The sequence below is a fragment of the Homo sapiens genome, chromosome 18 (assembly GCF_000001405.40).
Source record: "Homo sapiens chromosome 18, GRCh38.p14 Primary Assembly".
NCBI classification, from domain to species: Eukaryota; Metazoa; Chordata; class Mammalia; order Primates; family Hominidae; genus Homo; species Homo sapiens.
Window position 1 is genome coordinate 7,288,837 of NC_000018.10, and position 25,138 is coordinate 7,313,974.

Here is a 25,138-nt window from a genome sequence, read left to right on the forward strand (position 1 = left end):
GTCACTGGGATGAAGATGACCTAAGTCAACAGCAATTCTGATCACTGCACATTTTTAGCACCGAGAAAGGATCCTCTCTTTTGGCAGAAACAGCAAGTCCTGACTCTCCCCTTCCTGTGCACAAAGTAACCTCTTCAAGAAAATAGATTCCTGGGATGACGGGGTGGTAAGGGGACTCAGGGACATCGGTTCAGCCACCATCGGAAGCCTGAGTCCTTTCCCTAGAATCCTGTGATCTTTGGTGACTTTTGGTGAGGGTTCCCATGCTGTGTGCATCAGCCGCAGACCTGTCCTCGGGCCCCAGAGACTGGGAACTCCCAGGGGAAAGTCATTCAATCCAATCACCCACTTAGGTTCTCTGTCCAGAAATGACACAGGAAAAAGAGTTTTATTAATATTATAATGTACTGGCTGGGCGCGGTGGCTGAAGCCTGTAATCCCAGCACTATGGGAGGCGAAGGCAGGTGGATCACCTGAGGTCAGGATTTCGAGACCAGCTTGCCCAACATGGTGAAAGCCCCTCTCTACTAAAAACACAAAAATGAGTCGGGCATGGTGGCACATGTCTGTAATCCCAGCTGCTCCGGTGGCTGAGGCAGGAGAATTGCTTGAACCCAGGAGACAGAGGTTGCAGTGAGCTGAGATTGCACCATTGCACTCCAGCCTGAGCGACAAGAGCGAAACTCCGTCTAAAAAAAAAATTATAATGTACAAGATAATCTGTGTGAGTTAACAAGAATCCACAGGGCTCAGATTGGCTCTAATTAGAATCTGAAAATAAATTCTCCGCTGTGAAATCTGTATCATTTAATCATCAAATTACATATCCCATTCACATTAGTCTTCATATTGTGAGGCTTTTAATATAAATGTAAGCATAGAATGGATTACATGCTTTTAGTTTGATAACATGAACACTGATACATGCTTTTGGAAAGATTATAAAGAAATCACTTAGGCACCACAGATCTGCCCCAGCCCCTGAAACAATGTCCATGGTAGCTTTGGGGAAATGCACACAAGAGCACGGAGAAGCTGCCACCCCCCAACCCACAACACCCAAAACAGCTTTGAATAGGCCTAGTTTCTCCCAGCAAAACACACACCCAAAGCATTCCTTTTCAAAAATACACATCTATCAGAATCATGAGAGATTTAAGGTCTGATTTATCCCTGGATTTGTTTCCTTTCTTTTAGGCTGCAGGTGCCTCGGTATATATTATATTATAAGCTGATTAATTTTCTCCATTTTGGCTACAAAAGACATTTGATTCTACTTGTTTTAGATTTCAAAGCTCAGTCTTTCTGGATGGGCAAGCACTTTGAGTGTTCAAAACAGACTTACAGGCTATTATTCTCTGTCCTTAATCTCAGTGAAACAATACCTGGATTTGCTGCCCCTGCCTCTTCAGCCTGTCTCGTCTCGACTCCTCCCAAATCCAGAGCTTGCAGCTGGCAAGTACAAGACAGAGACTTAAAAATCTAATCGAGCAAGGACCCAGAGATATGCCTGGTGCTGCCATTGTTTCAAGTGCATCTTCCTCCTGTTACTCTTAAGCCAGGGTGAAGGAGAGCTGCCAAGACCTCTTGGTTGCAGGCCCCCAGCAGAGTCTTCTCTCTGAGTAGCACTTGGTCTGTTTATCCCAGCTCTGCACCTACTAGTTGAGAGAACCGGGGTAACTAACTTCCACTTCCCCAGCTTCAGTTTTCTCATCTCCAATGGTGACATAATTGTACCTGTCCTATGGGTTGTTTTGGGAATTAAATGAGGAATCCTTGAATCGTGCCTAACACCATACCAGGCACATGGTGAGCATCCTTATGTCATCCTTTAGGGAATTGCAATCATGCTCATATCTGCATCTCTTGCCTCTATTGATTCCCATCCATTGCCCTGTGGCCTCCAGGGGCCAACAAAATGCTATTTCCTTTCCTCTCTACCCATATTATTACAGGTGTAGGGGGCCATTTCTTAAAGACACCTCTCACCCTTCTCACACATGAGGGCTCTGGCTGTCCTTAAGACACCCATAATTCAGCCAGCTCAGAACCTGTGACTGTTTCTCTCCTGTCCCCAGGAACCCAGTGGATATTTTAGACCCCCCAGCTGGCACTCAGCTGCTCAGGAAGTCTCTGCAAGTTTTGCTTCCTGCCCTCTGCTCAAACCCTCCGCTCTGGTCTGGGATCTCCATCCCACACACTAGTGCTTGTCTGGGCACTGCTCACCCTGCTCCTTCCATCAGCCCAGACCCCAAATCCCTACCCAAGCCCATGGCCCCAGAACCCCGAGTTTGCTGTGGAGGTGGGGAGGAGCTAGACAACCAGAATGGGCATTATCGTCAGACTTCCTTCACAGAGAAACCCACTTCTGCTCACAGAGGCTGCGAGGGCTTCCTGAGTTCTCCCAGATGGTGACCACACTGGTCAACTCATTCCAAAAACAATCTGAGCATTAAGTAGTCCAAAGAATCATTGTTTCTAAGTTTGTGAGAAAGGATGTTGATAGTTTGATAGGAACAATGGTGAATCTGTAGATTGCTTTGGGCACTATGGTCATTTTCACAATATTGATTCTTATAATCCTTGAGCATGGGATGTATTTCCTTTGTCTGTGTCAGCTGTGATTTCTTTCAGCAGTGTTTGTTAGTTCTCCTTGTAGAGATCTTCCACCTCCTTGGTTAGATGTATTCCTAGGTATTTTATTTTAATTTTTATTATTTTATTTATTTTTTTTTGAGACAGAGTCTTGCTCCGTCGCCCAGGCTGGAGTGCAGTGGCGCGCGCGATCTTGGCTCACTGCAAGCTCCACCTCCCAGATTCACGCCATTCTCCTGCCTCAGCCTCCTGAGTAGGTGGGCTTACAGGCGCCCACCACCACGCCTGGCTAGTTTTTTGTATTTTTAGTAGAGATGGGGTTTCACCGTGTTAGCCAGGATGGTCTCGATCTCCTGACCTCGTGATCTGCCTGCCTCAGCCTCCCAAAGTGCTGGGATTACAGGCGTGAGCCACCACACCCTGCCAGTAATTTATTTTTTTATTTTTTTATTATTTTTTATTTATTTATTTTTTTGAGACAGAGTCTCCCTCTGTCTCCCAGGCTGGAATGCAGTGGCACAATCTTGGCTCACTGCAAGCTCCACCTCCCAGGTTCATGCCATTCTCCTGCCTCAGCCTCCCCAGTAGCTGGGACTTCAGGCACCCTCCACCATGCCTGGCTGATTTCTTTTTGTATGTTTAGTAGAGACGGGGTTTCACTGTGTTAGCCAGGATGGTCTCGATCTCCTGACCTGTGATCCACCTGCCTTGGCCTCCCAAAGTGCTAGGATTACAGGCGTGAGCCAGCACGCCCAGCCAGTATTTTATTTTTTTATGGCTATTGTAAATGGGACCGCATTCTTGATTTGGCACTTTGCTTGAACATTATTGGTAGAAATGCTACTGATTTTTGTACATTGATTTTGTATCCTGAAACTTTACTGATGTTATTTATTATTTCCAAGAGTCTTTTGGTGGTTTCTTCAGGGTTTTCTAGGTATAGAATCATATGGTCAGCAAAAAGATAGTTTGACTTCTTTTCCTGTTTAAATGCCTTTTATTTCTTTCTCTTGCCTAATTGCTCTGGCTAGGACTTCTAGTACTATGTTAAATAGGACTGGTGAGAGTGGGCAACCTTGTCTTGTTCCAGTTCTTAAAGGGAATGGCTCCAGTTTTTGCCCATTTAGTGTAATGTTGACTATGTGTTTGTCAAGGAAGGCTCTTATTATTTTGAGGTATGTTCCTTTGATGCCTAGTTTCTTGAGGGTTTTTATCATGAAGGGATGTTGAATTTTATCAAAACTTTTCCATGTCTATTAAGATAATCATACAGTTTTTGTTTGTAATTCTGTTTATGTGGTGAATCACATTTATTGATTCATATACATTGAACCAACCTTGGATCCCAGGAATGAAGCCTACTTGATCATGGTGAATTAATTGTTTGATGTGCCACTGGATTTGGTTTGCCAATATTTCATTGAGGATTTTTGCGTCTATATTCATCAGGGATATTGTCCTATAGTTTTATTTTTTTGTGACGTCTTTGCCAGGTTTTGTTAGCAGGCTGAGCAAAAAACAACCCCATTAAAAATGGCCAAAAGACATAAATAAACACTTAAAAGAAAACATAGAAGTGGCCAAAAAACATGAAGAAATACTCCACATCACTAATCATCAGAGAAATGCAAATCAAAACCATAATGAGATACCATCCCACACCAGTCAGAATACTTATTGTTAAAAAATCAAAAAACAGGTGATGTTGGTGAGGTGGCACAAAAAAAAGAAACACTTATACACTATTGGTGGGAATGTAAATTAGTTCAGCCACTTGGAAAGCTCCAAGTGGAAAGCAGCTTGGAGATTTCTCAAAGAAATTAGAACACAACTACCATTCAACCCAGCAATCTCTTTACTGGGTTTATATTCAAAAGAAAATAAAATGTTCTACCAAGAAGACACATGCATTCATATGTTCATTGCAGCACTATTCATAATAGCAAAGATATGGAATCAATCTAGGTGCCCATCAATGGTGGGTTGGATAAAGAAAATGTGGTACATATACACTATGGAATACTACACAGCCATAAAAATGAATGAAATCACATCTCTTGCAGCAACATGGATGCAGGTGGAGGCCACTATCCTAAGCAAATTAACTCAGGAACAGAAAACCCAATACTGCATGTTCTCACTTATATGTGGAAACTAAACACTGGGTACTCATGGTCATAAATATAGGAATGATAAACACCAGGGACTACTGTGAGGGCAGGCAAGGGAGAAAAGCTAACTATTGGATACTATGCTCAGTACATGGGTGACAGGATCAATCATACCTCAAATCTCAGCATCACACAATATGCCTATGTAACAAATTTGTACATGTGCCCCCTGAATCTCAAATAAAAGTGTTTTTAATAATAAGAAATAAATAATATAAAAGCCATTCATGTCTTCCAAAATTACTATTCACTGTGCTATGCTAGTCACTGTATAAGGGGCTGCAATCCATTAGAACAAGTGAGATGGAGAAGCACATTATGCTAGGGGCGGGAATTGTGTGTTAAGCCTGGGGAAAGTGAAAAAGAGAATTAGAAGACGAGCCTTGCATTGGATAACCTATTTTTTTAAAGTATATATAATAGGCTTATTGTGCTGTAATTTACATATCAAAAATCAGCTTTTTTTTTTTTTGAGACAGAGTGTCGCTCTGTCGCCCAGGCTGGAGTGCAATGGCGTATTCTCAGCTCACTGCAACTTCCACCCCCTGGGTTCTAGTGATTCTCCTGCCTCAGCCTCCCGAGTAGCTGGGATTACAGGCACCTGCCACCACGCCCGACTCATTTTTGTATTTTTAGTAGAGATGGGGTTTCACCATGTTGGCCAGGCTGGTCTTGAACTTCTGACCTCAGGTGATCTGCCTGCCTCGGCCTCCCAAAGTACTGGGATTACAGGCGTGAGCCACCGCACCTGGCCAAAATCAACAATTTTTAAGTGTCTGACTCAGTAATTTTAGCATAATCATTACCACTATCTAGTCCCAAAACAATTTTATCACCCCCTCCTAAAATGCGTAGGCACTAGCTGTCACTCCTCATTCTGCACACCCCATACCACTCACTAATCTGTGTCTGTTTCTATGTCTTTACCTATTGTGGACATTTCATACTTGCTATACTCTATCTTTTTTTATGCTAGCAATTCTAGTGGGTCTGAAATGGTATCTCACTGTGTTTTTGATTTGCATTTCCCTAATGATTCATGGTATTGAGCATCTTTTCTTTTCCTGTGCTTGTTGGCCATTTTATATCTTCTTTGGAGAAATGTCTGTTCAAATCCTTTGCTCATTTTTAATTGGATTATCTATACATATATTTTTTTTTGAGATGAAGTCTCGCTCTGTCACCCAGGCTGGAGTGCAGCGGCGCGATCTCTGCTCAATGCAAGCTCCGCCTCCCAGGTTCACGCCATTCTCCTGCCTCAGGCTCCCGAGTAGCTGGGACTACAGGTGCCTGCCACCATGCCCGGCTAATTTTTCATATTTTTAGTAGAGATGGGGTTTCACCGTGTTAGCCAGGGTGGTCTTGACCTCCTGACCTCGTGATCCGCCTGCCTCGGCCTCCCAAAGTGCTGGGATTACAGGCGTGAGCCACCGCGCCCGGCCGATTATCTGTTATTTTCATGTTTGAGTGTGAGAGTTTTTTTATATACACAAGTCCCTTATTAGATACATGATTTGCAGATATTTTGTCACATTCTTTGGGTTGTCTTTTCATTTTCTTGATGGTGTCATTTGAAGCCAAAAATTTTTATTTTAATGATGTTCCATTGATCTATTTTTTTTTCTTCTATTGGGTATGCTTCTGGTGTGATAGCTAAGAACCTATTGACTAGTCCATGTTTACAAAGATTTATGCCTATGTTTACTTTTAAGGGTTTTACAGTTTTAGGCCTTACATTTAGGTCTATTATGCATTTCAGGTTAATTTTTGTGTATGGTGGGAGATGCAGATAGTGGTACAACTTAATTCTTTTGTATTTTTTGAGCTTTCTTGAAAATCAATTTACCCTAAATATGTGGGTTTATTTCTGGACTCTCAATTGTGTTGCAATTATCTATAAGTCTATCTATCTTTGTGCCAATATCTCATATCTCGATTACTGTAACTTTACAGTAAGTTTGAAATTGAGAAGTATGAGTCCTCTAATTTTGTCGTTCTTCTTTGAGATTGTTTTGGTTATTCTGGGTTCTGTGGATTTCCACATGAATTTTAGGACCATCTTGTCTATTTCTTCAAGAAGGCAATTGGAATTTTGTTTGGGATTGCATTAAATTTGTAGGTCATTTGGGAGATTATTGACATCAATATTAAGCCTACCAATTCATAAACATGTGATTTCTTTCCATTTATTTCAGTATTGTTAAATGCCTTCAGATTATGTCTTATAGTTTTCAGTATTCAAGTCTTGCACTTTGTTAGTTAAATGTATTCCTTTTGATGCTATGGTAAATGGAATTGATTTCTTAATTTCACTTTTGATTTGCTTTTTTGCTAGTATATAGAAATACAGTTAAATTTTGTGTATTGAGTTTGTATCCTGCAGCCTTGCTGAATATATTTTATTGGTTCTAATAGATTTTCTCATGGATTCTTTAGGATTTTCAATATACAAGTTCACGTCATCTGTGAATAGAGATAGTTTTCCAATCTTGAGGCTTAGTTCTCTTTCTCATCTTCTCTCCCTGGCTGGAACTTAAGTACAACTTTGAATAGAAGGGGTGAGAGTGGACATTCCTATCTTGTTCCTAATCTGGGGATGGGGGACAGCATTCAGTCTTTCATAATTATGATGTTAGCTGTGCGTTTTATCAAGTTGAGTAAGTTTACTTTTATTCTCAATTGGTTAATGCTTTTAATGTGAAAGGCTGTTGGATTTTTAAAAGTGCTTTTACATCCATTGAGATGATCATGTGTTTTTTGTCTTTTATTCTATTAATATGATGCATTACACTGATTAATTTTGTATTTTGAACCAACCTGTATTACTAGAATAAATCCCACTTGGTGATGTTGCATAATCCTTTTTATATATTGCTATATTAAACTTGCTAGTATTTTGTTAAGGATTTCTGCATCTATTTTCATAAGCTATATTGTCTACAGTTTCCTTTATTATGTATGTGTCTGAACATCAGGGTTAAAACTGGGATCCCGTCATGAATTGGGAAGTTTCACTCCTATTTTTTGGAAAAGTTTGTTAAGGATTGGTGTTTTAAACATTTGATAAAATTCTTCTTTAAACATTTGATAAAATTCAACAATGAAGACATCTGGCCTGGCATTTTCTTTATGGACGATTTTTCATTACTAATTTAATCTTTTTTCTTGTTATAGGTATATTCAGATGTGTTTCTTCTTGGGTCAGTTTCGGTAGATTTTGTGTTTAGAGGAATTTTTCCATTTCATATTGGTTGTTTAATTTACCGGCATACTCTTGCTCATAGTATTCCCTTATAGCCTTTTTTTTTTTTTTTTTTTGAGACAGAGTCTCGCTCCCTCTCCCAGGCTGGAGTGCAGTGGCGTGATCTCGGCTCACTGCAAGCTCCACCTCCCGGGTTCACACCATTCTCCTGCCTCAGCCTCTCAAGTAGCTGGGACTACAAACACCCGCCACCATGCCCGGCTAATTTTTTGTATTTTTAGTAGAGACGAGGTTTCACCTTGTTAGCCAGGATGGTCTCGATCTCCTGACCTCGTGATCCGCCCGCCTCGGCCTCCCAAAGTGCTGGGATTACAGGCGCGAGCCACTGCGCCTGGCCTATAGCCGTTTTTTATTTCTGTAAGGTTGGCAGTAACATTCCCTCTTTCACTCCTGCTTTTAGTAATTTGAGTCTTCTCTCTCATTTTCTGTTACTCTAGCTAAAAGTTTGTCAATTTTGTTAAGTTTTCCAAAGAATCAACTTTTGGCTTCATTTTATTGTTTTTCTAGTCTCAATTTCATTCATCTCCACTCTAATCTTTATGTTTCCCTCCTTTCCGCTTGCTTTGGGTTTAGTTTTCTCTTCTTTTTCTCGTTTTTAAGGTAGAAGTTTCACTTAAAGATTTGAAATCTCTCCTCTTTTTTAATATAGTCCTTTGCAGCTATAAATCTACCTCTTAGCACTGTTTTCACTGCATTCCATAAACGTTGGTATGCTGTTTTCATTTTCATCCATCTCAAAGTATTTTCTCATTTCCCTTATGATTTCTTCTTTGACCTATTATTATTAGAATTTTGTTATTTAATTTCCACATATTAGTAAATTTTCTAAATTTCCTTCTATTAAAAGACCTAATTTCATTCCACTGCAATTAGAAAACATACTTTATTATTTCAATATTTTAAATTTATTGAGACTGGTTGAACAGCCTACCATATTGTCTACCCTTGAGAATGTTTCACTTGACAAAAATGTGAATTTTGCTATAGTTGGGTGGAGTGTTCCACAAATGTCTGCATAGGCTAGTTGGTTTATACTGTTTTCAAGTCTTCTATTTCCTTGTTGATCTTATCCCTAATCATTCTATCAAGTATTGAAAATGAAATATTAGAGTTTTGGAGTATTAATGTTGAATCATCTATTTCTCCCTTCAATTCTGTCCGTTTTTGCTTCATCTGTTTTGGGGGCTCCCTTGTTAGGTGTGTGCATGTTTATAAATGTTACATATTCCTGATGAATTGACTCATTATTTTAAAACCTCCTCCTTTTTCTCTAGTAAAACTTGTCTTAAAGTATGTTTTGTCTGATATTAGCTCCACTCTGGCTCTCTCTTAGTACTGTTTTATGGCATATATTTTCTAGCCTTTTACTTCCAACCTGTTTGTGATTTTATTCTAAAGCATATCTCTTGTAGACAGCATATAGTTGTATCAGGTGTTTTTTATTTCCATTTTGCCAACCACTGTCTTTTGATTGGAATACTTATTTCATTTACATTTAATGTAATTATTATAAAATAGGATTTATGCCTGCCATTGGGCTATTTGCTTTCTGTATATCTTATGTCTTTTTGTTCTTCTACTACAGACTTCTTTAAATTAAATAGATATTTTCTAGTATAGCATCTTTATTCCCTTATTGCTTCTTTTCCTACATGCTTTTGAATTATTTTCTTAGTGGTTGCTCTGGGGATTACAGTTAATGTTATAACTTGCTACTATCTAGCTCAGATTAATACCAATTTAATTTCAATAGTATCCAAAATTTGCTCCAATATAGCTCCACTATCTTTCTCCTTATTTCTCATTATGATTTCAAACAAATTATATCCTTGTACCTTATAAGCACATTCACACAGTTTTAAAATTATTGCTTTATACAGTTATCTTTTAAATTAGATAGGAGTAAAAAGAGTTACAAAAACTATATTTATACCACCTTTTACAGTTACCTATGTGTTTATCTTTACCAGTGCTTTTTATTTCTTTATGTAGACTTCAGTCTCTCTCTAGTGCCCTTCAATTCCAATCAAAAGAATTCCTTTTAAGTATTCTGTGTAGAACACACCTACTAGTGAACAAATTCTCTCATTTTTGTTTTTTTGGGCATGTCTTAATTTCTCATTTTTGTTTAAAATATAGTCTTGCTGAATATGGAATTTTTAGTTGACAGTTTTTTCCAGTACTTATATATATAATCCCATTGCTTTTTGGTTTCTATGGTTTCTTATAAGAAGTCACTTATAAACTTTCATGTGGTGAATAACTTCTCTCTGGCTGCATTTAAGATTCATTCTTTGTCTTTGTTTTTGTTTCTGGTAAAATATACATAACATAAAATTTATCATTTAACCATTTTAAGTGTACAATTCTGTGGCATTCACATTAAGCACACATGTATTTCAAATTAAGTAAATTCACATGGCTGTTCAGTCATCACTACCATCTGATGTGATTTGCATATTCATCCTCTCCAAATCTCATGTTGAAATGATATAATTTCCCTTGTTGGAGGTAGGGTCTGGTGGGAGGTATTTGGGTTGTGGGGTGGATCCTTCATGAATGGCTTGGTGCCCTCCACATAGTAATAAGTGAGTTCTGTAGTTCATGCAAGAGATAATCGTTTAAAGGAGACTGGCACCTCTCTTCCTCTCTCTGGCTCCCTTTCTTGCCATGTGACATACCAGCTCCCCTTCCCTTCTGCTATGAGTAAAAGTTTCCTGAGCCCTCACTAGGAGCTGAGCAGGTTCCATACTTGTACAGCCTACAGACCTGTGAGACAAATACACCTCTTTTCTTTATAAATTACCCAGTCTCAGGTATTCCTTTACAGTAATGCAAAATGGACTAACACACAATCCATCCCCAGAAATTTTTCATCCTCCCAAACTAAAATTCAGCACCTATTAAACAATTACTCCCAAATCTCCCATCTTCCCAATGCCTGGAAACCTGAATTCTACTCTTTGTCTCTATACATTTGGCTGTTTTAGGTGCCTCATATAAGTGGAATTATACAACATCTGTCTTTTTGTGCCTGGCTTATTTCATTAAGGAAAATATCTTCAAGATTCATTACGCTATGGTATGTGTGAGAATTTTCATCCTTTCTTAGCTAAATAATATTCCATGGTATGGATATACCACATTTTGTTTGTCTATTCATCTGCCAATGGACATTTGAGAAATTTACACCTTTTGGCTATTGTGAAGAACGCTGATATATGAGCATTGATGTCCTATTTATGGCTTCTGAGAGCTTGATTATGATGTGTCTACATGTAGATCTCTTTGGATTTATTCTATTGGGAATTCTTTAAGATTCTTTTTTTCTTTTTTGAGATGGACTCTTGCTCTGTCACCCAGGCTGGAGTGCAATGATACGATTTTGGCTCACTGCAACCCGTCTCCCAGGTTCAAGCAATTCTCCTGCTTCAGCCTCCCAAGTAGCTGGAACTACAAGCACCCACCACCACACCCAACTAATTTTTGTATTTTTAGTAGAGATGGAGTTTCACCATGTTGGCCAGGCTGGTCTTGAACTCTTGACCTCAGGTGATCCTCCCGCCTTGGCCTCCCAAAGTGCTAGGATCACAGGCGTGAGCCACTGTGCCTAGCTGGAATTCATTAAGATTCTTGAATGTGTAGATTGATTTTTTAAATCAAATTTGTGTAGTTTTCAGTTTATTTCTTTAAATATTCTTTCTTCTCCTTTTGTCTCTCCTCTCCTTCTGTGACTTCCATTTTACCTGTATTGGTACACTTGATGATGTCCTATAGGTATACGAGACTGTTTATTTTCCTTCATTCTTTTTTCCTTTTATTTTTCAAACTAGGTAATCTCAAATGACCTGTCTTAAAGTTCACTGATTCTTTCTTTTACGAGCTCAAATCTCCTTTGAATATGATGATAATTTTTCATATTTTGATTATTTTCATTTTCAACTCCAGGATTTCTACTTAGTTCTTTTTAAATAATTTTCTTCTCTTTATTGATATTGTCTATTTGGTGAAACCATTCTCATACATATCTTTAATTATTTGAACGTAGTTTCTTTTAGTTTTTGAGCCTATTTATAGCACCTAATTTAAAGTCTTTGTCTAGTAAGTCTGTTGTCTATGCTTCCTCAGGGAAAGTTTGTATTTACTGTGTTCCCCTAGTGTGTCCAAGGCATGAACCAGGCATGGGCACAGACAAAAGGCCAAGCTGAAATAAACAAGGGGTTGCTTTGTCCCTGGCTGATATGAGATGAATGTCACAGCCAGATGCCACTCTACCCAGGTCAGAGGCATTGACTGCTTTTCTACCTGTGTATGAGTCATACATTCCAATTTTTGTCTGTTTCATTTTGTTGTTGTTGAAAACTGGGCATTTAAAATAATAGAATGTGGCAACTATGGATATCAGATTACCCACCCTTCCCCAGGTTTTCTTGTTGCAGGTATTGTTGTTTGTTTGCCTAGTTACTTTCCTTTTTCATTTTTCTTAGATGGAGTCTCACTCTGTTTGTCCAGGCTGGAGTGCAGTGATGCAATCTTGGCTCACTGCAACCTCCCCCTCCTGGATTGAAGCGATTCTCCTGCCTCAGCTTCCTGAGTAGCTGGGATTACAGGCATGCACTATGCACTACCATGCCCAGCTAACTTTTGTTTTTGTTTTTTCTTTTCTTTTCTTTTTTTTTGAGACAGAGTCTCGCTCTGTCGCCCAGGCTGGAGTGCAGTGGCACGATCTTGGCTCACTGCAAGCTCCGCCTCCCAGGTTCACGCCATTCTCCTGCCTCAGCCTCCTGAGTAGCTGGGACTACAGGTGCCTGCCACCATGTCCGGCTAATTTTTTGTATTTTTAGTGGAGACAGGGTTTCACCGTGTTAGCCAGGATGGTCTCCATTTCCTGACCTTGTGATCCACCTGCCTTGGCCTCCCAAAGTGCTGGGATTTACCGGCATGAGCCACCGTGCCCGGCCAAGCTTTTTATTTTTTGTATCTCTAAAAATGTGGCTGGGTGTGGTGGCTCATGCCTGTAATCCCAGCACTTTGGGGGGCCGAGGTGGGCAGATCATGAGGTCAGGAGATTGAGACCATCCTGGCTGACATGGCGAAACCCCATCTCCACTAAAAATACAAAAAAATTAGCTGGGCTTGGTGGAGGGCGCCTGTAGTCCCAGCTACTCGGGAGGCTGAGGCAGGAGAATGGTGTGAACCCGGGAGGCAGAGCTTGCAGTGAGCCTAGATGGCACCACTGCACTCTAGCCTGGGCAACAGAAGGAGACTCCATCTCAAAAATAAATAAATAAATAAAAAATTGTGGGCTTAGATGTATTTTTTAATTAAGTTTTATTATTTTTTATTTATTATTATTATTTTTTGAGACAGAGTCTCACTCTGTCGCCCAGGCTGGAGTGCAGTGGCGCAATCTCAGCTCACTGCAAGCTCTGCCTCTCGGGTTCACGCCATTCACCTGCCTCAGATTCCCGAGTAGCTGGGACAACAGGCACCCGCCACCACACCCAGCTAATTTTTTTTTTAAATTTTTATTTTTAGTAGAGATGGGGTTTCACTGTGTTTGCCAGATGGTCTTGATCTCCTGACCTCATGATCTGCCTGCCTCGGCCTCCCAAAGTGTGGGGATTACAGGCATGAGCCACCACTCCTAGCCTAAATTTTATTTTTTTAATAGAAAAATAATTATACATATTCATGGGGGTACATAGTGATGTTTTCATATGTATATAACGTGATAACGTGTAGTAATCAGATCAGGATAATTATCCTTTTAAGCTTTTTTGTCAGCATCTTGTTAGTCCTAACTGCTAACATTGCCACAGGAATCTCCAATATTAAACAATTGTTGCTGATTGTTTTCTGCAAATTACCTAGAGGTAGAACTGTTCACAGAGATGGAACTCGGAGTCAGGTGAAATAAAGGCAAGTCTTGAAAAACTGAGTTTTTCAGTGACTTTCTAGACAGGTCAAATAGTGACAGTTCTCTAGGGATGGGGCTTTAGGGGAACTCCAGCCCTGATCTGTCTCCTCTAGTGGCTGCTGGTTTTCAAGAGGGGCATGGGATTAGGGCAAGTAAAGATGCCACAAACCTGTTCTGACGAGATTCTGCTGTTTTTCTTGAATAAACCCTCCTCAGATTGTTGCAAGCCTTTAGTTAATTTCCAGAATTCCAACAAAATTGATTTTGGCAATTCTTGGTAGTGTTTTTATTTCTTTTATAGGAGAGTAGATATACAAAAGGCTTTGCTGTTCTGGAAAACTGAATCTTGCAATGCAAGTAAAAGTCAAGCATGCAGAGAAGGCAATAAAGAGCATCCCAGGAAGTGGGGCTAGCAGAGGAGAGGTAGAAGCCTCAGAGAGGGTGGCTCATGAAGTGTGGCTCAGTGTGGCTGAGACGGAGGGTTCCCTTGGGAATGCACACAGAAGATAAAGATGGGGATTTAAGCAGTGACAAAACCCAAGGGGCCTTTATTCCAGGTTATTTTTCTCTGGCTTTTAACATTTAAGATTTTAGATTATAATAGGGAAAATCTGTGGTTCCAGGATAGTTCTTTCATTTGTCACCTATTTGCCTCCAGTTGCATCACACCACCTAGCTCCTGGGCTCTGTAGATCACAATCTGCCACCCATCCTCTCTTCTCCTCCCCAGGAATGAGAAAACACCAGCAGAACTGGGCCCACTGCCTCATGCTGACTGCTGGGAAGAATCTGGCACTTAGCCCTTGCCTCAGAATGTCCTTTCCTCCCTAAAGCCCATAGAATCAGAATGCACTTTCTCGGGGTGAATGTACAGATGATTTGTTAGGTAAATTGGCAGAAACCTTAAGATTACAAGCAGAAAGATAGAGGGTCATCAGACTGTGCTTGCAGAGCTGGAAGAAGCTGTCTTCCACATTACAGGTTTTCCCCTCCTATTTTCCCTTACGCTAACCCTGAAAACCTTCTTAATTTGGTAGCATGCCCAACCCACAATCTGCCTTTCACCCTTACAGATTTATGGCAAGCTGTATTTCACCTAAGAAATGTAAGCTGTGAAGAGATTATTGTGTGGGGATCCGATCTGGTCCAAATCCTTCTGATCCACCACTATGGACAAGTTGCTCCTAACCTTCCTCTCTGTTATCTCGTCTCCTCTTCTGTCAGATGACAATGATAATCCCCACCCCTTGCTGACCTAATACAGTCTAATACAGACTTTAGGAAAGTGACTTGAAATCAGAAAACTGTAAGCTCCTTGACAAAAAGTTCCCACTTAAAGACAGGCTTTCTCCTTATCCTTACAAGCATGATTTCCGGCTTAACACGGATTTACAAATACCATGAGTTCCAGTTCTGAACTGTGTAGCTCTGCCCTTGAACATCCACAGGGGAAGAAATGCTTATTATTGTCGGGATTTCAGTCCAGATGAGAGAGTGCTAACTGCAGCAAGTGAGAAGGGCGGCGAGTGGGGAGGAGACCACGGGCCTGCTCCCAGCTGCACCCCTCACTCATCCCAAACATACCAGGCATTGTGTTCCAAACCAGATTCTGCCCATTAGATCCATGTGGGAGAAGGGAGCTCTGCTTTTTTTTTTTTTTCGTTTAAACATAAGTAGTTTCACAAATAAAGTTCTTGCTTAAACTTTATTTAGCTATCATCCAAGTAAGCTTTCTGGGAAAAACACCCATGAGCCCTGCTGCTGCAAGCCCCTCATGCCTCTGTGTGGGGTGAGTGAGCAGGTCTGAATTTTTTTGTTTGCTTGTTTGTTTTTGAGACAGAGTCTCACTCTGTCACCCAGGCTGAAGTGCAGTGGCATGATCTCGGCTCACTGCAACCTCTGCATCCCAGGTTCAAGCGATTCTCCTGCCTCAGCCTCCTAAGTAGCTGGGATTACAGGCACCCACCACCATATCCAGCTAATTTGTTTATTTTTAATAGAGACAGGGTTTCACCATGTTAGCCAGGATGGTCTCGATCTCCTGACCTCATGATCCACCCACCTCGGCCTCCCAAAGTGCTGGGATTACAGGCGTGAGCCACCACGCCCAGCCAGGTCTGAGTTTTACATTGTGCCCAGGTAGTGATGTGGAGGAGATTTGAGGGGAGCAGGCCCCACACCAGGGAGTTCACACGGGATGCTGTTAGATCCACCTGGCTGGGAGTATAGGAACAGAGGGAAGGGACAAACTCCAAAATCTTTAGGAGATTCAGTCAACCAATTTCATGACTTCTGGGTTGGGACAGAGTGGGAGAGGAAAGAGCTGGGATAGGCCTCGGGTTCTGGTTTGAGTCCCATCCACCAAAACAATGAATGAGCCGGAGAAGGAAGAGGACCTTGGTTTAGAACGTGTCAAAGCTGGGTGTTTCTGGGATGGTCAAGCGACTGGATTCCATAGGCAGATGGACATAGAAAGGGTTAAAGGCTGTTTTTGTTGTTTTGCTTTATTTTTTAGAATAATCATCATTGTAACACCAATCCTTATTAATTCAGGTCATCTTCACAACAAGATACAGATTCTATTATCCTGCTGATAGGCTGTGGGAAAACTGCTGGTAGAGAGGAAGAAGCTGGCAATGGGCGTGCCAGCTGATGATGAGTGGAACAAAGTCCACGAGGAGTGGGAGGTGGAAGCTCGGACGGAGCAGGTGGCAAAGGGGAACTCATCCACTGAGACATTAGGAAAGAAGACGTCAGTGTGTTCACATGCGGGGCCTAACCTGGTGGTTGGATGTTCTTGTCAAAAGAGGAATAATGAAGTGGATGGGCTTGGGCAGGGGCCTTGAGGGCAACAGTGAGGTGTGGGCAGCCTCTGAAGGCAGTGATTGAGGGGCCAGGCAGGAGCCCGTGCATTTGCTGTGGCTGTTTTATGCTGCAGACTGGGAGGGAGGAGAGCAGAGATGGCTGGCCGCCTAGCCCAGCTCCACCCACCCTCTTTCTTTCCTTCTGTTTGGAGAGGCGATGTGACCAGCCCAAACTTCTACGTGTCTCAGCCTCTCTTGCATCCAGGGAAGGCCTGTGTCAGAGTTCTGGCCAATGGGGTGGACACAGAAGTCCTTAGCTTGTCTTTCCAGAAAAGATTTTCTTTTAAATTGGTTTGTGTTTTGTTTGTGGGAATGCTCAGCTGGCACATGCCCTTTGCCCTTTACCCTTCCTTCCCCTTTCCTGCCTGGAATGCAGATGCAGTGCTGGAGGTGAAGCAGCCACATGGTGACCAGGAGGCAACAAGCATGAAGACAAAAGCCACATGCTAACAAAGACTGAATGAAGAGAAAGAGCCTGTTGGGAGCATTCTATGTATACTTGTTAGCCCTGTAGATTTCTTTTATGGGGGAATAAAATAAAACCTCCATTTAATGAAGCCACTGATGTCAGCTTTTATTACACACAGCCAATTGTAGGGTCAACTGATATGGAAGGGAAAACAGATTGTGGTGATGCTCTAGGACTAGGGGTCTGCAAGACAGGGCAAAAGGGGGTGGAGTGTCTTGGTGAAATAGAGGATTTATAATCAACTGTGGGGCCTAGACAGATTAGGGAAGAACAAGAGGCCTACAGAAAGCTAGGAAGCTGGAGGCATGGGGGTAAACTGCACATAGGAGTCTGTAAGCTTATTGTGGGAAGATCTGGGTGCTACGAGAGGGCAGGAACTTGGAACTTGGAACTTGGAACTGGCTGTTGATTCTGGTGTGGCCTATGACAGGTGTGACAAGACCTAGGATGGATGCAAGAGACATGCAGGTCACTGTGAAGCCATGGAAGCCAGAACTTACTCCAAGCAGGGCTCACAATGGGCAACCTTCTTGCGGATGCCTGAGACAGCTCAGTCAAGGTCAAAGCCAATTGCCCCTCCTTTCAAACCATGGCGGGCTTGTCGTAACTTCCTCAGTCCCACTGGGTGTCCTTTGGCTCTGTTCTTAGCCTGGCTTACCCTTCTCTTCTCTCCCCATCAAAGATAATTCCCACGGCAAGAGCATTAGTGGATATTTTTCAGAAACTGGCAAGGCTCTGTCAGTAATGTTTCCCTAGGACTGCAAATTTAAGCCAGTCTCCAAAACTCAGTAACCTGGTAGTAAATCATTATACTCTATTTTCCAAAGAAAATGTCACTTCTAGGATGGATATCCACTTTTGGCTCTTCATAAAATGACCAATGACCCCATAATAAGACAGCCACTATAGAAACCAAGCCAAATCTGGATGAGTAACAGAGGGAGATATTAGTGGAGTGTGTACATTAAGGGCCTGGCTGTGCCCACTCTTGCCCACAGCCCCTAATCAGCCAGTTGGCCCCTGAGAGCACCTAGGCCCTGCGCTGGTTTGATGGAAGCACTCCTACTCTCTCGTCCTCTGTGCCATTAGTCCTCTCCTTGTTTCTAACTTGTAACCAAAACAGTAACGTCCTCACAGCAGCTCCCTGTGTTCCTGCCAGCAAGGGCTCTACGGCAGTCTCGAGAATCTTCTGAAATCTCTCTTCAGACCCATTAGCTGGAGAGTGATAAAGCTCCAAGCTGTAAGACTGGGTGATTTGTTACCCGAGAAACATTTCATTTTAATTCTTTAAGAAATTGCTCAGAGTGATTCTTGGGGAAAAAGAAAAAAACAAAAAAATCCCATAGTTGAATCTTTTCATAGTCAAAACCACTTGCTGTTAAAATCATTGACTACATTTTTTCTGGAATGCTTGACTGATTACACTTGCCCTTCTCCAGAAATATTGACGGTTTCTCAGGCTATGTTGGTTCCCCAAGCACACATAACACAATCCTTGGCAAAATCACTAAAGGAATCATTTATATGGGCTAGAAGACTGCAGCTCTGCCTGGAGAATTGCATTATTTCTTATCTCAACTATAGTGCTGTCACCCTCCAAGGGGGCCTGCTGCACGTCTCCCTGGAGACCCCCACCGCAGGGCCAGAAGCTGCTGGCTGCAGCTGCCTCCTGCCAAGGGCTGTGTATTAGGCATGAGACAGGGGAGTAGAGGTCCTGGTCACTCCTTTCGCTCCAGAGGGTGGTTCCACGCTGTCCCAGGGACACTGGAGGCCGCATGGGCTTCGATAGGATACTGAGCGACAAAGAAATGGTTCAGAGTGCCGGTTCAGGACCGGGACATGCCTGGCCTTGCCTAGTTAGCCAGCATCTGCCTAACCCTCACTTCCTCATCTAGAATATTGTTCCCCACCTCATTTGATTCTTTTTTTTTTTTAATTATACTTTAAGTTTTAGGGTACATGTGCACATTGTGCAGGTTAGTTACACATGTATACATGTGCCATGCTGGTGCGCTGCACCCACTAACTCGTCATCTGGCATTAGGTATATCTCCCGATGCTATCCCTCCCCGCTCCCCCCACCCCACCACAGTCCCCAGAGTGTGATATTCCCCTTCCTGTGTCCATGTGATCTCATTGTTCAATTCCCACCTATGAGTGAGAATATGCGGTGTTTGGTTTTTTGTTCTTGCGATAGTTTACTGAGAATGATGATTTCCAATTTCATCCATGTCCCTACAAAGGACATGAACTCATCATTTTTTATGGCTGCATAGTATTCCATGGTGTATATGTGTCACATTTTCTTAATCCAGTCTATCATTGTTGGACATTTGGGTTGGTTCCAAGTCTTTGCTATTGTGAATAATGCCGCAATAAACATACGTGTGCATGTGTCTTTATAGCAGCATGATTTATAGTCATTTGGGTATATACCCAGTAATGGGATGGCTGGGTCAAATGGTATTTCTAGTTCTAGATCCTTTGATTCTTTAGGGGACTGCTATGGACTGAATGTTGGTGTCTCTCCCAGACTCACATGTGGAAATCCTAATCCCTCATGTGATAGTATTAGCAAGTGCAGCCTGCAGAAAGTAATAAGGGCACGAGGCTGGAGCCCTCATGAATGGGATTAGTGCCTTTGTCAAAGGGGTCCCAGAGAGCTCTCTGGCACTCTTTCCACCAGGTGAGGACACAATGAAAAGACAGCAGTCTGCAGCCCGAAAGAAAAAACCTGACCATGGGGGCACCTGATCTTGGACTTCCAGGCTCCAGAACTGTGGGAAATAGATTTCCGTTCTAAGCCACCCTGTCCATGGCACTTTGTTACAGCAGCCCGAACTGACTAAGGATGAAATCAGATTAGGGCCTGGCACAGTGGCTCACGCCTATAGTCCCAGCACTTTGGGAAGCCAAGGCAGGCGGATCACAAGGCCAGGAGTTCAAGACCAGCCTGACCAACATGGTGAAACCGCATCTCTACTAAAAATACAAAAATTAGCTGGGCGTGGTGGCACACACCTGTAATCCCAGCTACTCAGGAGGCTGAGGCAGGAGAATCATTTGAACCCGGGAGGCAGAGTTTGCAGTGAGCCGAGATCGCGCCACTGCACTGCAGGCTGGGTGACAGAGCCGGACTCCACCTCAAAAAAAAAAAAAAAAAGAAATCAGATAAAACAGTTAAAGAGCTACACACAGTGCCACTGCCTGGCGTTCTGTAAGCTGTCCATAAAGGGTCACTGACATTCTTGCACTCGATGGCAACGTTCTCTGGGAGGCTAAGGCAATTTTGATCCTGAACCAAACTGGAAAATAACATTACTCCTAAAATGCACGCAAACATATGCTTGCTTGAAAATTAGTGGTTCTTAACCCAATTATGTATCTGAAGCATGGAAGGGAAAGAGAGTGCTGGGGACGTCTATTAGATTTATAATGCAAACAACCCAAAGTAAACATCGAAGAAAACTTCTTGGCTCCTGGTTGAATGTGCAGGAGACACAGTGGTTCCTAGGAAGGGCCCAAACCCGTGGGGGATGCCAGACATTTCCTAAAGATGGGCTGTGCTGGCAGATTTCTATAGTAATTAAAGGAAGCCTGGGTTTGAAGTTTGAGAAACACTAACTAATACATATGTTGAAATATTTTATAGCGCATTGCTCTGTATTTTTATTGTTTTCAGTAAATATTCATGAAACATCCAATTAGCCTCTGAATGCCCTTCAGAATAGGGAAGAAATACCCCAAGCTTCCTGTATTCTCTCATGCCCTGGTCCACAGGAAGCACCAGGCAGAATCCTCTATCCACCAAGGAATGTTTATTTAGAAAAAAACCCAACAAATATTTATTGAGCACCTACTACATGCTAGCCACTGTTTCAGTGTGGGGGATAGAGTGTCGCCTGTTCAGTGGTGAACAGGAGAAAGTGTCTACCCTTATGGAGTTTACATCTAGTCAGGGAGATAAACACTGAATAAACAACAAATAATATAATTTAACATGATGATAGGCGCTGTGCTAGTCGGGGTTCTCCAGAGAGACAGAAACAGTAGTGTGGATGGATAGGTAGGTAGGTAGATAGAGAGATAGATTTATAGGTAGATGAGAGGGAATTTATTAGGGGAATTGGTTCACACAACTATGGAGGCTGGGAAATCTTATGACAGGTTATCTTCTGCAAGTTGGAGACCCTAGGATGCCAGTAGTGTGGCTCAGTCTAACTCCAAAGCCTCAGAATCAGGGATGCTGATTCTGCAATCACAGAGTTACAAGGACATAACTCTCAGTGAGAGGCTGAAGGCCTATGAACCTGGGGGCCACTGATATAAATGCTGGAATCCCAAAGCCAGAGAGCCTGGAGTTCTGATGTCCAAGGGTAGGAGGTGGGGCATGTTTCAGCTTCAGGAGAGAGAAGGAGAACATCCTTTTCTCTCCGTTTTTTGTTTTATCTGGGTCCCCAGCTGGTTGGATGGTGCTGTTCATGCTGAGGCAGATCTTCCCCACTCAGTTCACTGACCAGTCTCCTCTGGAAACACCCTCATGGACGCACCCAAGGTAATGCTTTAGCAGTTCTCTAGGTATTCCTTAATCCAGTCCAGTTGACACCTAAAATTAACCATCACAGGCACTAAGAAAGACATAAAAAGAAGTCCCAGGGCAATTTGTATCAGGGGCAGGGGCTGCTGTTTTAAATAAGACAGAGATAGCCTAACTGAAAAGGGGAATTCTGAATCATGATAATAAGTGGATCATGGGAAGGCAGAGAGAAAAGCAGCAAACACTTTAGATGCTTTTGGTTATAAGCAAAAATCTCTACTGAAGAAAAATAATGCCTTTAATAATAAGGACATTTATCATCTCACATAACAGGAAGTTCAGAAATATGACCACCATCAGGGTTGGTTGATTTAGCAGCTTAGCAATATGATGTGGTCTGTCTTTCTACTTGGCCATTTTCATCACTGATACCCACTCTTGGTATCCAGCAGGATAGGGCACCTCTATGAGACCCTCTCCCCACCCCTTAGCAGTGAGGAAGCTCTTCCTAGATGCTCCCCTGCTGAATTCCCCTTCCTTCTCGCCAGCCCAGCTTGGTTTAGGCTTGTCCACTTCTGAGCCAATGACTGACCAGGGAAATGGAATTATACTTGACCGTTGAACAACTTGGGGGCTAGGGGCACCGATACCCTGCACAGCCAAAAATTCAATAAATTTTTACTCCTCCCAAACTTCACTACTAATAGTCTATTCTTGACAGGAAGCCTAGATAGTCAATTGACACGTTTTGTATTTTATGTGTATTATATACTGTATTCTTACAATAAAGTTAGCTAGAGAAAGAGTGTTATTAAGAAAATCATAAGGAAGAGAAAATATATTTATTATTCATCAAATGGAAATGGACCATTATAAAGGTCTTCATCCTCAACATCTTCATGTTAAGTAGGCTGAGGAGGAGGAAGAGGAGAGGTTGGTCTTGCTATCTCAGGGATGGCAGAGTTGGAGCACGTAGACGAGATGGAAGGGGAGGCAGGAGAGGCAGGCACACTCGGCATAACTTTATGGAAATAACGTTGTCATTTCTATCTTTTTTGCTTTTTTATTTATCTAAAAATGTTTCAGTATGATACCAATCCTTATTCCATTGTTTGCTTTAGTTTCAGTGCCCATATCATGGAAGGGTCTGTGTTGTAAGATAAGTCAAAAGGAGTCTTGAATAATCAAAACCCTTCTGCCAGATTGTCTCATATCAATTTTTTTCTGGCACCGTTTCTCCTAAACCTTCTTCCTCATAGCTTAGCGCTGGTTTGGAAGCACTCATCTCCGTTAAGTTGCCTTGTGTTCATTCCTCTGGTGTTTTATCTATTAGCACTTGAATTTCTCCAAGATCCACATGGGGAAACACTTTCTCTGCTACTTTTTTAAGCCATACCCGCAATGTCTTTCATGATTTCCTTGATTGACTTTGTCAAAAATCCTATGAAACCATGCACAACATCTGGAAACAGTTTTCTCCAACAGGAATTAATTGTTTTGGGCTTGATGGCGTTCATGCTTTTTCTACAACAACGACACCTTCAGTGGTGTAATCCTTCCAGACTCGCAAGATGTTCTTTCTGTTGGGGTTTTCCTCCATAGTGTTGACATCCTTTCCATAAAGTGCCATGTGTAATAAGTTTTAAAGGTCTTCATGGCTCCCTGATTTAGAGTCTGACATGAGATGTTGCATTTGGGGGCAAGTAGACCACTTCAATATCTTCAGGGTTGAACTCATGGGGTTCTGGGTGGCCAGGGGCATTGTCCAATATCAAAAAAAACTTTAAAAGGCAATCTCTTACTAGCAAAATACTTTCTGACTTCAGAGACAAAGTATTCATGAAACCAATCCAGATTCCTTTTGTCCAGGTCTTCTTTTTGTACAGCCAAAGACTAGCAGGTAGTGTTTATCTTTTCCCTTCAAGGCTCTGGGGTTAGCTACTTTATAGATAAGGACAGTCCTGATCATAAAACCAACTGCATTTGCAAAGAACAGTAGAGTTAGCCTATCCCTTCCTGCCTGAATCCTGGTGCCGGATTATCTTCCTTACTAATAAATGTGCTTTGTGGCATTTTTGTCCCCAGAATAGGGCACTTTTGTCTGCATTAAAAACCTGTTCAAGCAGGTATCTTTTCTCCTCAATGATAATTGCATCCGGGAACTCATCTGCTGCCTCTTGGTCAGCAAAAACTGCTTCTCCTGTTATCTTGACATTTTTAAAAAGCCAAATCTCTTTCTAAAATTATCAAACCATCCTTTGCTGGCATTCAATCCTCCAGCTTTAGATCCTTCACCTTCCTTTTTCTTTAAGTTATCATATAATGACTTCTCTTTTTCTCAAATCATATTAGAATCTATGGGAATGCCTTTCTTACAGCAATCCTGTACCCATATAAAAGCTGCATTTTCAATACAAGATAAAAAGGTATTTCACCAAAAGTGCAAAGTTTTCATGCCTGCTGGCAGAGCTGCAACAGTAGCTTCAGGAATTTCCTTTTCTTTTTTTTACAGCGTTCCTTATTCTGGATTCATTTATCTTGAAATGGCGGGCAACTGCAGCTGCAGACCTCAATCTACAGTGCATATCAAGCAATTCAATTTTTTCTACAATGTTTTGACTTTTCTCTGCTTCATGGGGCACTTCCAGCATCACTACTGGCACTTTATTTGGGTCCCATGGTGTTACACAAGGTTTTTGGTATTGCACCATGATGAAAAATACACAAGAGCTGCAAGAGGTCTTTTTACTACAATAAGCAATTTACTGGATGGATGAACTGCTCACATGGAGATGGTTACTGTCACACAGCATTTTAAGCGGGTACCCACAGCACTTGAGCTCACCGGAACAGCAACAAGACATGACTACTGATTTATCACAGCCATACAGTGTGTACTACATTGAGTTTTATGCAATTATGATTGAATACTGCATCTTTATATTTGTGTACATTTCTCTTGACTGTGAATTGTTCCACGTACAGTTTGTGTTTGTGTGTGTAAGTTTTGATAAATTTTAACTTTTTATAATAGATGTACATTTTATGATAGTAAATGATAAACTAGTATCTACATATATTATATGAACTCATGACATACCCAGTTTTTCCTTTTTTTTTTTGTTATTTCTAGGCCATGCAGTTTATCTACCTGTGAGTTTTTTTCAAATTGTCACAAATCTCCAAAATTTTTTCAATATATTTATTGAAAAAAATCCGAGTATAAGTAAGTAGACCCATGTAATTCCAACCCATGTTGTTGAAGGGTCAACTTTACTTGGAATGGCCTGGAATAATCACCTGCACTATGTATGTAAGAC

At 41.7% G+C, this 25,138-nt stretch overlaps 1 non-coding gene across 1 annotated transcript; it reads right to left on the minus strand.

The window, feature by feature from the left end:
• Positions 1-12,183: 12,183 nt before the first annotated feature.
• On the minus strand, positions 12,184-12,317 carry LOC124900409 (small nucleolar RNA SNORA48). Its single transcript, XR_007066481.1, has one exon. It is a non-coding gene; the product is annotated as a small nucleolar RNA SNORA48 (small nucleolar RNA).
• Positions 12,318-25,138: the final 12,821 nt, after the last annotated feature.